This window comes from Homo sapiens, chromosome 20 (assembly GCF_000001405.40).
Source record: "Homo sapiens chromosome 20, GRCh38.p14 Primary Assembly".
Classification (NCBI taxonomy): domain Eukaryota; kingdom Metazoa; phylum Chordata; class Mammalia; order Primates; family Hominidae; genus Homo; species Homo sapiens.
This window is the reverse complement of record NC_000020.11, coordinates 45,107,581-45,120,357: the sequence shown is the minus strand read 5'-3', so window position 1 is coordinate 45,120,357 and position 12,777 is coordinate 45,107,581. Positions and strand designations below refer to the sequence as shown.

General features: G+C 47.4%; 1 protein-coding gene across 4 annotated transcripts, besides 2 other annotated features; it reads left to right on the top strand.

Annotated features, from left to right (window-relative positions):
• The first annotated feature begins 4,038 nt into the window (after window positions 1-4,038).
• Window positions 4,039-10,895, top strand: WFDC5 (WAP four-disulfide core domain 5). Of its 4 annotated transcripts, NM_001395506.1 has the most exons (6): window positions 4,039-4,184; window positions 4,833-5,038; window positions 5,231-5,359; window positions 9,583-9,723; window positions 9,818-9,958; window positions 10,345-10,895. In NM_001395506.1, exons 3-6 carry the CDS (start codon window positions 5,275-5,277, stop codon window positions 10,347-10,349), a joined length of 372 nt encoding a protein of 123 aa, NP_001382435.1. In that variant the 5' UTR covers window positions 4,039-4,184; window positions 4,833-5,038; window positions 5,231-5,274; the 3' UTR covers window positions 10,350-10,895. The 4 variants fall into 4 exon arrangements, with proteins under 4 accessions (NP_001382435.1, XP_011526903.1, NP_663627.1 ...); XM_011528601.2 differs by having other exon boundaries at window positions 4,833-5,359; NM_145652.4 differs by lacking the exons at window positions 4,039-4,184; window positions 4,833-5,038 and having other exon boundaries at window positions 5,184-5,359.
• Window positions 4,747-5,246: an enhancer, noted in NCBI's record as "H3K4me1 hESC enhancer chr20:43743753-43744252 (GRCh37/hg19 assembly coordinates)". NCBI's record gives its function as "activates a minimal SCP1, AML or CMV promoter by ChIP-STARR-seq in primed H9 embryonic stem cells {active_cell/tissue: H9 hESC(primed)}" and the evidence as "EXISTENCE:reporter gene assay evidence [ECO:0000049][PMID:30033119]".
• Window positions 5,247-5,748: an enhancer, noted in NCBI's record as "H3K4me1 hESC enhancer chr20:43743251-43743752 (GRCh37/hg19 assembly coordinates)". NCBI's record gives its function as "activates a minimal SCP1, AML or CMV promoter by ChIP-STARR-seq in primed H9 embryonic stem cells {active_cell/tissue: H9 hESC(primed)}" and the evidence as "EXISTENCE:reporter gene assay evidence [ECO:0000049][PMID:30033119]".
• Window positions 10,896-12,777: the final 1,882 nt, after the last annotated feature.

Below are 12,777 nucleotides of genomic sequence, written 5' to 3'. Positions count from 1 at the left end.
ACTAGAATTAAAGTGGAGCCTGAAGATGTGACTGAATTGCTACAATCTTATGATAAAACTTGAATGGATGAGGTGTTGCCTCTTACGGATGGGCAAAGAAAGTAGTTTTGAGAGATAGAATCTACCCCTAGTAAAGATGCTGTGAACATTGCTGAAATGACAAAACCAAGAATTTAAAGTATTATGTAAACTTAGTCGATAACACAGCAGGGTTTGAGAGAATTGATTCCAACTGTTTGTTGTTGTTGTTGTTTTCAGAGACAGGGTCTTGCTCTGTTGCCCAGACTGGAGTGCAGTGGCATGATCACAGCTTACTGTAACCTTGAACTCTTGAGCTCAAACAATCCTCTTACCTCAGCCTTCCGAGGGGGTAGGATATAGGCATGCACCACCATCCAGCTAATTTTTTAATTTTTTGTAAAGGTAGAGCCTCACTGTATTGCCCAGGCTGGTCTCAAACTCTTGGGCTCAAGTGATACTCCTGCCTTGGCTTCCCAAAGCTCTGGGATTATAGGCATGAGCCACTGCACCATGCCATGACTCTGATTTTGAAAGAGGATGTACAGTGTATAAAATATTATCAAACAGCATTGCATGTTTGATAGTATTTCACAATATGTGACAGAGAAATCTTTCACAATATACCTTTGTATCACACCTGCACATGTACCCCCTAATTCTAAAATGAAAGTTGAAAAAAAGGAAGAGTCCATGGATGCAGCAAACTTCATAGTTGTCTGATTTTTTAAAATTGCCACAGTCAACCTATCCTTCAGAAACCACTACCCTGATCATTCAGCAGCCTCAACATCAAGGTAAGACCCTCCGCCAGCAGAAAGATGATGATGACTCACTGAAGGCTTACATGATTATTAGCATATTTTAGCAATAAAGTATTTTTAAATTAAGGTACATACTTATTTTAGACAAATGCTATTTTGCACTTAATAGACTACACTATAGTGCAAACATAACTTTTAGATACACTGGGAAACCAAAAAATCCACATGGCTCACTTTAATCCCAGCATTTTGGGAGGCCAAGGTGGGAGAATCACTTGAGTCCAGGAGTTAGAGACCAGCCTGGGCAACATAGGAAGGCCCCCGCCCCCCGCATCTCTACAAAAAATAAAAACTAACCAAATATTATTGCAATATTCTCTTTATTTCAGTGGTCAGGAACTGAACCCACAATACATGCTTGTCTGTGCTGGCATAAGAATAAACAGTCAAAAGAAAAGAACGGGCAAGGCACGGTGGCTCACGTCTGTAATCCCAGCACTTTGTGAGGCTGAAGCGGGCAGATCACAAGGTCAGGAGATTGAGAGGAGCTTGACCAACATGGTGAAACCCTGTCTCTACTAAAAATACAAAAATTAGCTGGGTGTAGTGGCATGTGCCTGTAATCCCAGCTACTCAGGAGGCTGAGGCAGGAGAATTGCTTGAACCCGAGAGGTGGAGGTTGCAGTGAGTCAAGATCATGCCACTGCACTCCAACCTGGGTGACAGAGCGAGACTCCATCTCAAAAAAAAAAAAGGAAAAGAAAAAAAATGAAAACCCATAAACAGCCCCTGTTACAATAAGACTTAAGTTATTGATAAAGTTTTAATTCTTAATCAATGGCAAAAGTTTAAATTATTCACTAAATGATCATAGGACAATTGCTTAATTACTTACAAAAAAAAGATATTTCCTATTTCACGCTCTATACCAAGATAAACTTCAGCTAGATTAAAGAATTATCATGTCTTTCAAAAATCACAAAATAATAACAAGTAAATATAGTGAATATTTATCTAACATCAGAGTCAAAAAGCCTTTTTAGCATAAAAATAAAAGGAGAAAATATGAATGAAAAGATTGAATTGATTACCCCAAAATTTAATCCTTTGGTACTAAGCAAAAATGAGGAAAGAAATATTTGCAATATAGCATCAAAGCATTTATCAAGTTTATCTCATTCAGTTCTCAGAACCATCCTATAACACGTATATGATTATCTCTATCTCTACTGGTATACAAAAATAAACAGGGGTTTTACAAAATTAATGTCAAACAGATAGAGCCTATGGCACCAAGATTCAAAACTAGGTCTGCCTAACTCCAATATACATCTGTTCACTACTGCCCCTTGTGTATGACAGGTTAATAGATTCTTAATATATAAACAGCTCTTAAAACTCAAAAATAAAAGGACCCCCAATAAAAATGAGCAAAATACAAAAACAGGCAATTCACAGAGAAAGGATACAGTCAGTATGCGAATATGAAGAAATGCTCACCATCATGGGTATTAAGAGGAAGAGGAAGACAAATTAAAATGAAATATTGTTTTCCGTTAGCAAAGATTTTATTTACTTATTTTTTTAATATCCTGTATGTAGTAAGAATATCCACTAAGGATCTTTGGCTGTGAGCAACAGCATCTGAGCTTTGGACTGTTCTGTTTAGAGAACTGGCTTATCTGTTCAAGACTCTAATGAAGGCGTGGGCAAGTTAGGGGTGGAGAAGAGTGCAGTGGGTGTAACCTGGATCCAGTGCCCTCAGCTTTGATAGGAGAAGTACCTGCTGATTGGCAACCAACCAGAATGACAGCAGTCAGGAGGCAATGGTTCCACCAAAGGAAGAGACGCTGGGCAGACGAAACAATAGAGGTCTATGGCAGGGCAGGTGGAGGCTCTTGTACACTCACTTACTTCCTTTCTGAAATTTAATTTGACCAGATATATCCAACGCCTGGAAACATGACTGTGCCTTTTGACCTAGCATTTCTAACTTTGACAAATTTACTTTAAGAAAACAGTCAGAGATGTGACTCCAAAATGTACACAAAAAGATGGTTATCACAGCTTTATTTATGAAAGTGGAAAATTGGAAACCTCCATGTTTCATAATAGGATACTGATTGTGTATATTTTGGCATATCTTTTTTCCCTAAAAACTTTACTGAAGTGATGTTTTGACATATAGATCTAACAAAACAGCATGTAGCCATCAGAAAACATGATGTTTAGAGAACATTTCACAGCACAGGAAAATGTCTACAAAATAATTTTAATTTAAAAAGCATTGGCATGGTGGCTCATGCCTGTAATCCCAACACTTTGGGAGGCCGAGGCGGGTGGATCACCTGAATTCAGGAGTTTAAGACCAGCCTGACCAACATGGTGAAACCCCGTCTCTACTAAAAATACAAAAAATTAGCCAGGCATGGTGGCGGGCGCCTGTGGTCCCAGCTACTTGGGAGGCTGAGGCAGAGAATTGCTAGAACCCAGGAGACGGAGGTTGCAATGAGCAGAGATTGCCCCATTGCACTCCAGCCTGGATGACAGAGGAAGACTCCGTCTCAAAAAAAAAAAAAAAAAAAAAAAAAAGAGCATTTCATGGCTGAGCACAGTGGCTCACCCCTGGAATCCCAGCACTTTGGGAGGCCAAGGTGGGAGAATCACTTGAGTCCTAGAGTTAGAGACCAGCCTAGGCAACATAGGAAGACCCCCCATCTCTACAAAAAATAAAAACTAGCCAAATATTGGGGCGCATGCCTATAGTCCCAGGTACTCAGGAGGCTGAGGCAGGAGGACTACTTGGGTCCATGAGGTCAAGGGTTCAGTGAGCCATGATGGCACTGTGCACTCCAGCCTGGGTGACATAGCGACATTCTGTCAAAGACAGAGAGAGAAAGAGAAAGAGAGAGAGGAAAGAAGAAGGAGAAGGAGAGAAAGAAAGAAAGAAAGAAAGAAAGAAGGAGAAAGGAAAGAAAGAGAGGAAAGAAGGAAAGAAAGAAGAAAGAAATAAAAAAGGAAAGAAAGAAGAAAGAAAAAGAAAGAAGAAAGAAAGAAAAGAAAGAAAGAGAAAGGAAAGAAAGAGAGGAAAGAAGGAAAGAAAGAAGAAAGAAATGAAAAAAGGAAAGAAAGAAAAAGAAAAAGAAAGAAAGAAAAGAAAAAAGAAAGAAAGAGGGAGGGAGGGGTGGAGGGAGGGAGGGGTGGAGGGAGGGAGGAAGGAAGGGCTCATATATTTGTCCTCCAAAATAAAGCTTCCAAGGAGGTGCCAGCATTCCAAAAGCAACATCAGATCATAGAAGACAGAGCCTCTCCTATCTTAATAGCTTAGAAGACAGCACGAGAGATTCACATTAAACCCAAGGAAGAACTTCCTGCTGCCAGGGCTGTCCTGGATTGGAATGGGTAAGTGAGACAAGCCCTGTAATATCACCCTCCTTTCTCAGGATCAGATGAGGTATTGACCTGCTTTTAAAACCCAGGAACTGAATGAGGGTGATGGGGAGGCCACAGTGGGAAGTCCCAGCTTAGTCAGGAATTAGCTGCGTGTCCTTGGGCCAGTCCCCTCTCATCTCTATCTCACAGTTTCCTCGTCTTTCAAATGAGAAGGCTGAGAGAATGTACTTCGATGGAGTTTCTGTTTAGGATGTCCCTTAGGATGCCAAGTCTCAGCTCCCTCTCTTCTACCAAATGCAGGAGGCAACATCAGAGATACGAAATCTAAGGTGGGGGTCCCTGGATGAGATGACATTTTTTTGCTCAGGATCCCTTAGGGCCAGAGAAGAGGTTCCAGTGGCCACACATCTGCTGTGACCAGCAAACTTAGCCAAGCCAAAAGCCATGCTCCCCCACCCTCAACAGCCAAGCCAGCCCCAGGAAGAGGGCAGTTCTATCAGAAGCCACTGGTGATCTCACCAAAGGCGGGGTGGTCTTTCTCCCATCCACAGGACCCAAGAGGAGAGGCCAGGGCTGGCCTCACTCATTATGCCAGCCTGGGCCAGCCTTCTTTGGCTGCAAGCTCTGGCCTAACCCTAATGCCTTCTCCCTTCCTAGGCATCCAGAACTCTGCAAACCCCCACTCCTTTGCTATTCAAAGCTGACCTCTACCCGCTGCCTAGACATCGCTGGGGCTTCAACATCTTTGAGAGCCAGGATAGCAAGCATCTGCCTCAACAACCTTCACCCTGTGTACAGATGAAAAAACTGAAGCCCAGAGAGACAAGACTTGCCCAAGATCACAGCCCAAGTCACCGATACAGGCAAGACTGGATCTGAGTCCCCCACATGCAGGATGTGCCGCCACCCTATCTTCAGCTATTGTGACAGCATCCCTTGCACTGAGTCCTCGGGCCCTCAGGGGGTGGGGCCAAGATGAAGCAGGCACGGTGTCACTCCACACCCCCTCTCTTTCCTCTCCTGACTAAGTTTCTCTGGCTTCCCTGAGGCTGCAGGTGTTAATCTGGGGGGCCCTGGGCCCTGAGCCGGCAGCAGAAATATGAGGACCCAGAGCCTTCTCCTCCTGGGGGCCCTCCTGGCTGTGGGGAGTCAGCTGCCTGCTGTCTTTGGCAGGAAGAAGGGAGGTGAGTGCGGGAAATCCCTCTGCTGGGGGGACCAGATTGTCTCTACTTCTCTAGGGAGAGTAAGGGTTTGGGGGAAGGCAGGTAATGCCCTGTGGGGTGTGTGTGCGCGTGTGTGTGTGCGTGCGTGCGTGTGTGTATGTGTGGATGCCTGATTCTTAGTGCTTTCAGAAGCCTGTGTTTTTATGTGTGTACATTTGTGCCTGTCCACCTGCCTGTGTTGGTATCTGTAAGTGTCTTTTCTGCCAGTTTCTCGGTGCTTGTCTGTGCCTGTCTATATGTCAGGGGGTGGCAGGGCGGGGAATGCATGTGCCTGTGTCTGTGTAGACATGTGTCTTTGCGTCTGCTTGTCTGTGCAAAGCTCTGTCTGCACACGTACACTTAGGAATGGCTGCACGCATGTGTCTGAGCTTGGTGCCTGTCCATGTGTGTCTCTGTGCCTTCAGGTGTGGGGAGGGACCCTGTCTGTGCCTGCTGGGCTGTGGTGTGACTGGGTCAGTGGGTCCACCACCCCATCTGTGGAAGGGACTTGGGAATTGAGGAGAGGGTGTGGCTTCTGGGATCTGGGCTTTGTGGGGAGGAAGCTCTGTCTCTAACTCTCATCGCCCCCAACCTCCTGTCCCCATTCCCACCCCTGACAAGGCTGGGGCTGGCCTGCTGACAGGTGAGGGAGGGCTGCTGAGTGGCTAGACAGGTGACTCCTGATCTGGGTGAGGCCTCCACCTGCGTCCTTTTCTGGGGCTGGAACACTCCAACCTACATTCACCTGTGCAACCCTTGCCCTGCCTTAAAGAAAGGGGACAGTAATGGGGACAGGCTGAGGAAGGAAGTACACTGGTGAGCTCCAAGGCTGGACCCTGTGTTGGCTGTGATTCATGCACCATCATCACGTAACTCCTCGACAAGGTGCTGTGAGGACAGGACTATTTTCATCCCCATTTTGCAGATGAGGAAAATTGAGGCATAGCGGGGAACCACTTAACAAGGTCAAAGACTGACTCTGAGTTAGTGCCAAATGTGGCATTTGAATGCAAGTATTTGAAATCAGAAAGATTCACCTTACCAACTATTACAGCAAAAACCCAGGACTGTACAGGACAATGCACCCCCAACATAGGAAGGAGCTGAGAGACCAGAGAATGACTTAGACAAGGCCAGATTAGCAAGTGCATGAGTGCAAGTATTTGAAATCAGAAAGATTCACTTTACCAACTATTACAGCAAAAACCCAGGACTGTACAGGACAATGCACCCCCAACATAGGAAGGAGCTGAGAGAACAAAGAATGACTTAGACAAGGCCAGATTGGCAAGTGCATGAGTTTATTAGGACTTCCAGGCAGGACACTCCTGGAAGGCAACAGGACAGGTCTGGAGACTTACTCCTTGTAAAATGGGGTCCCATGCCTCTCTCTCAGGAGTAAATGGTGTCTCGAGGAATAAGGGCCTGGCACACAGTAAGCACAGCATAAGTGGGTGATTTGGGGGAGTCATTGTGTTCCCAGGGAGCACACCCCAATATTCAGCCCAGCTGCTCAGAGGCAAAGAGCTGGCACAGCAGAAACCGAGCCTGCGCAGGGCCACTCTGCATGGGCAGGTGTGACAAGCTTGTCTCTCCCCCAGTTCACCACACCTTGTCCCCCACTGGTTTCTCTCCTGTAAGACATTGCCGAGCTGTTGGTAGAATTTCAGACAATGGAGGAAGGTGACGAAGCCAAGGGAAGGGAAGTCTCAGTTTGTTGCCTGTGGAAGCCCAGCCGCCTCTGTTTATAAGAGCTCCCCATTCTGCCCCCTTCTCACTCAAACGTCTGGGTGTCTCTGATACAAAGAGCCTGGCATAGTCCCTGATAAACAGCAAGTGCCTAATTAAATGCTGTCAGTGGTTATGTGGTATTGGGAAGATATATGTGTCTGTGTAGCTCTGTGCATATGATTCTGTATATATGACTGTGTATGCTTATGTATGTCTCTCTGTTCACATACATATGCTATATATTTATATATTTATATACATAACTGTGTGTGTCTGAGTGTCTATCTGTGTGTATGTATCTATGTGGGTAGGCATGTGTAAATGACAGTGATTATGTTCCAGCTCATATGTACATACATGACTGCCTGTTTATATATGTTTATAAATATATTGCATATATATAACTCTCTGATATATGTCCATATGTATATATGTGTGTATTAAGTTGAACCATGTAAAATTGCTACTTTTGTAGATAAAACAGTTGACTATCTGCAGTTTCCTACTGTTAAGCCTGTAGCTAATTGTGTGTCTAGATCTAAATGTGCTTGTGTATTTGACTATGTGTGTATCGTCTGTGTGTACAAGTGTATATATTTAACCATGTTTGGATACGATTCTTTTGCTCTCTAAGTCTACACACCCATGGCGCATGCATCTGGATGACCATCTGTGTGTGTGACTGTCTCGATGTACACATCTGTGAGTGGAGAACCTGGTTTGGAGGGACTGTTAGGAAAGGCAGGCAAACAGAGTGAGTGTGACCACCCAGAGCCTCTCACGCCGGCTCTGCACACGCCAGGCTTTTATCCCCACCTCCACATTGCAGCTATCGCAGTTCTTCCACTGGAAATGCCAGCTGTCATGCCCCATCCCTATCTGTCCATTCCCCAAGGCCAGCCCCAGGCCCCTCGCCACAGAAGCTCTCCCTGCCTGACCCACCCGGCTCCACCGGCTTTGAGTGCACGCAGCTCCGTTTGGCCCACCCTTTGAGGCCTGCGCACCTTTGACTTGGACTTGTGAATTCAGGGCTAAACCTTGGACCTCAGACAGTTTCCCAGGAACCCTCCCATCACCCCCACCACCCCAAACCCACACTTTTTCCCCCTCCCCACGCCAAGCCTCTCTTTCTCCAGCAGGGGGCAGCAATTTAATTTAAACCAACCCGATGTGACAGCTGAAGTTGACTTAGCGCACGTAGGATGTGAGCAAGGTGCCTACTTATGTGTGCAGCCAGCACCCAGGCAGGGGGCTGAGGGGGAGGGGCGGACACAGAGGTAAAGTCACAGAACCAGATCCAGCTGCCCCTCGGAACTCTTGAACATTTTCTCTGATGCTGGATTGAATTGAAGACCTGGGACCTGCTCCATCCCTACAGCTCAAAGACAGCTCAGGGTGGACACTCACAGAGGTCAGAGGGAGCCGGGCCCTGGGAGTCCTAAGCCCAGCCCATGTGGGTCTGGACAAGTCACTGCCCTTTTCAGGCCTTGATTTCCTCCTCTACATGGAGGAGGATACTGATTTCCAGCTTTGTGCATGAAATATGAACATGGCCCAAAATCCCAGCAAGAAGAATGTTAGGTAAGCTCTGGGACAGGACACTCTATACCATTCAGAGGAACGCCTCAGAGACAGAGTTAACGCCTGATCCTCGAAACCATGCCATTTGCAACAGTGATGAACGCAACGGTGCAGAAGACGTGGCCAGCTGTGGCTGTGACAGTGCACCAGGCTGGCCACTGCTGACGCACGTGCAATGCTGGGCCTCACTTCAAAACCCTTTCTTTCCAAGTCACTGAGCCCTACTGCTGTGCGCCAAGGGCTGTGATATGGACCAACGGTGAGCAAAGCTGGCAGGGTGTCTACTCTCCTCACCTCCAGCCAAGTGAGAGACACAGACAAACAGATGCAGCATCACAAACTCTGGAGGAAAGAAATGAGTGTGTGTGTGGGGGCCGGGGTGGGGGGGCGCTGACCTAGTTAATGTGGGGTCAGAGAAGTAGGGTCTTCTGAGGATGCGATGTTTCTGCTGAGTCCTAATGAGCTGACCAGGCGCATGGAGTACAGGAGAAGTGCACTAGGCAAAGGATGCGGCCCGAGCAAGAGCCCTGCAGAGAGAGCTGGCTTGGAGCAGATCAGGAGGCACTGAGTGGGAGGGCAGTAGAGGATGGGGCTAGAGAGATGGGCAGGGCCCAGACCAGGCATGGCCTTATTGGCCACAGTGGAGATGTTGGGCTTCATTTTCCCCTGTCATTTGTGCCATCTGAGTCTCAAACTAGCCCAGCTTCCCATTTCACAGCCAGAAAACTGAGGCTTGGAGTCATTATAAACAAACAAACAAACAAAAATAACAACTAGCCAAAAGACAGGCAAAAAGCAAGGGATGGAGAATTCAGTCTTGTCATTCCCAGGTCAGCGCTTATTACATAACCGTGAGCTTCCTCCAGCTGCAATATTAGGAGATTCTCTTACAGAGAAATCGGGGGGCTGCCCGCCAGATGATGGGCCCTGCCTCCTATCGGTGCCTGACCAGTGCGTGGAAGACAGCCAGTGTCCCTTGACCAGGAAGTGCTGCTACAGAGCTTGCTTCCGCCAGTGTGTCCCCAGGGTCTCTGGTAAATGCCTCCCCTCCACCTTGCTGACCATCCAAGCCCCAAGCTTCAGGGCCAGTGGGCAAGGACGGAGCTCACCCAGTTCCCTGTGTTGCAGTGAAGCTGGGCAGCTGCCCAGAGGACCAACTGCGCTGCCTCAGCCCCATGAACCACCTGTGTCACAAGGACTCAGACTGCTCGGGCAAAAAGCGATGCTGCCACAGCGCCTGCGGGCGGGATTGCCGGGATCCTGCCAGAGGTACGGCTCCTGGGTGCCCAGGGCAGGTGCCTCCCCTCTCCGAGCCCAGCTCTAATACTTTCTTCATTGCTACAAGCTTAACAGGATGCCTCCCCAGAAGTCAGGACCTCCCATGGCCAGGATTAGGAAACTGGATAGGGGTTGGAGGAGTCCTGCTAGGATGACAGAGGACCCGGGAGTCCTTGGTTCTCTTCTTGAGCTTGCTGTGGCACCTGGATGACAGCCCTAAACTGCTCTGGGCTTCTGTTTGCCCTTTTGAAGGGGGCAGAGGAATCCTGCCTTGGTGGCAACCAGAGCTGAGCTGGTGGGGCATGGATGGGAGACCAAGGCCAGAAACCAGAGCCCTATTATGGGAAGGAATTAACCCTTTCTTTCTCCCTCCTCAGGCTAATTCTGATTTAGGATCTGTGGCTCTGCACCTAAGCTGGGGACCAACGGAAAGAGTTCACGATGGGAGGCCTGGGGCCCTGCCCGCTGGACAGCACTATCTCTACCAGCGGTGGTTCCAGCCTTCTGATAATCACTGGCCTGCTGACACTTCCCTGCAACCCATCCACCCCTGGTTTCTCCTCCTGGGAGTCAAAGTCCATAGCCTGAGCTCGGAGGAAGGCCTCTGTATCACCCCAGTACTCTGCACCACTGCCATACGAGCTTCCCACCCTTCCTAACGCTTTCACACCAATCCGTACATGCTGCTTCCTCCACCAAAAATGCCCAATTCAGGCAGACCCTGACCTCTCCCTCAGGCAGCCCAACCATCCAGAATGAATATTCTTGCAGAGTTTTCCAAACATCAGTCATTCACCTCTTTCATGATTTTCACCATACCTACAAAATAGCACCATGATAGGTTGCACGCTGCCTGTACCACCATTTACTTAATGTTTTCTTTAAATGGCTCACTTTTGTATATAAATAAATTCATTTCAAAAGAAAATTGATATCACTACTATAAATGAGATCAATTACCACAAATGGAATTATGAAAACAAATGCAATGGAAACAGCTCAGTTCCATTAAAGTAAATCATGTCAGATTAAATGATATTAAATAGTGTTATTAAACTCTAGCTAGCTACAGCCACCTGCCAAGACTGAGCCTGAAGCCTGTACTCACTCTATGTTTTTGGTTTTTTGTTTTTTGAGACAGAGTCTCATCCTGTTGCCCAGGCTGGAGTGCAGTGGCACGATCTTGGTTCACTGCAACCTCCGTCTCCCGGGTTCAAGCGATTCTTCTGCCTCAGCCTCCCAAGTAGTTGAGACTATAGGTGCCCACCACCATGCCTGGCTAATTTTTGTATTTTTAGTAGAGACAGGTTTTCACCATGTTGGCCAGGCTGGTCTCAAGCTACTGGCCTCAAGTGATCCACCTGCCTCAGCCTCCCAAAGTGCTGGGATTACATATGTGAGCCACCGTGCACGGCCAGTCTATGTTTTAATCAATGAAGATTTTAAAGGGTTACAGATGCAAACATCGGCCGGGCACGGTGGCTCACGCCTGTCATACCAGCACTTTGGGAGGCTGAGGCAGGCGGATCACGAGGTCAGGAGATGGAGACCATCCTGGCTAACACGGTGAAACCCTGTCTCTACTAAAAATACAAAAAATTAACTGGGCGTGATGGCGGGCGCCTGTAGTCCCAGCTACTCGGGAGGCTAAGGCAGGAGAATGTCGTGAACCCAGGAGGTGGAGCTTGCAGTGAGCGGAGATCGCACCATTGCCCCCCAGCCTGGGTGACACAGCGAGACTCCGTCTCAAAAAAAAATAAAAATAAAAAAATAAAATAAATAAATAAATAAATAAAAGATGCAAATGTCTAAGCTGAGACTTTCTCCCTGAGGTAATCAGAAGAATTGAGAAGGGAATGACTTTCTCCCTCCAGGAGTCCATGTTATGTGACACTGCATCCAGGTACATACTAAGATCACTTCAAATTGCCCAAAATTTGGGGAAATGTTGCTCAAGTCGTCGGGATGTCATTATTGTGATGGCTCTCTCTCCACCTCACTCACCTCAGTTTCTCCTGGGTCCAGTATGCAGTCAGGGTTTAACAAGTGTTTCTTGCGGGGAGAAGGGGTCAATGAGGGAATGACAGTCATCCCAAGGGATATCCCTGGACCCAGACAGCTGGATTCCTGACTCTCCCACTTTCCTCCCAGGAAGGAGGTGGCAAATTCCCTGCTCTATCTGCTGGGCCTCTTGTGTCCAGCACAAGACTGAGGGACTGGGCGGTCCACTGTGGAGGTACACTTGGGAATCCTTGGTCTTCTTTCCCTGTTCTCTTGACCTTGCAGTATGATGACAGGTCATCCTTCTGCACTCTGGGCTTCTGTTTGCCCCATCGGAAGATGGAAGGGATTCTACTTCCTCACCCTCCTTGTTCTTACCATGGGATTCAAATGCTTGAACGGTTGACTCAAAAGTACCAAATGCTAACTACATGGATATAGACTGAGGTCTTGGAGAGGGGAAGGAGAACTATCTGGGAGTCACTGACTCTGAGCAAACTTGGATATTTCTGTTCCTCTTTCTGGGCCTCAGTTTCCCCATATACATATAGCTTCAGATAGTTAACACAGGTAATATTGTAGATTGGATTATTTGCCTACAATTGTCCCTTTCCCCTCCCCACCCCATGCTTACAGTGGCTTCCCTCAGGGAGAGTGTACAGCCTGCCCCAGTGACTTGGGCTGGGCGAGGAGACCTGTTTTAGCTAATGGGATGTGGGTGGCAGTGACAGTGTAGCCTGTTTAAAGACAAAACACCACCATTCTTTTTTTTTTTTTTTTTTGAGATGGAGTTTCGCTCTTGTTGCCCA

Coding starts and splice junctions, on each gene's coding strand:
- WFDC5 (XM_047439930.1), top strand. CDS start 9,492: ATGGAGAATTCAGTCTTGTCATTCCCAGGTCAGCGCTTATTACATAAC. Junction 9,724..9,817: donor GTGTGTCCCCAGGGTCTCTG/GTAAATGCCTCC, acceptor CCTGTGTTGCAG/TGAAGCTGGGCAGCTGCCCA.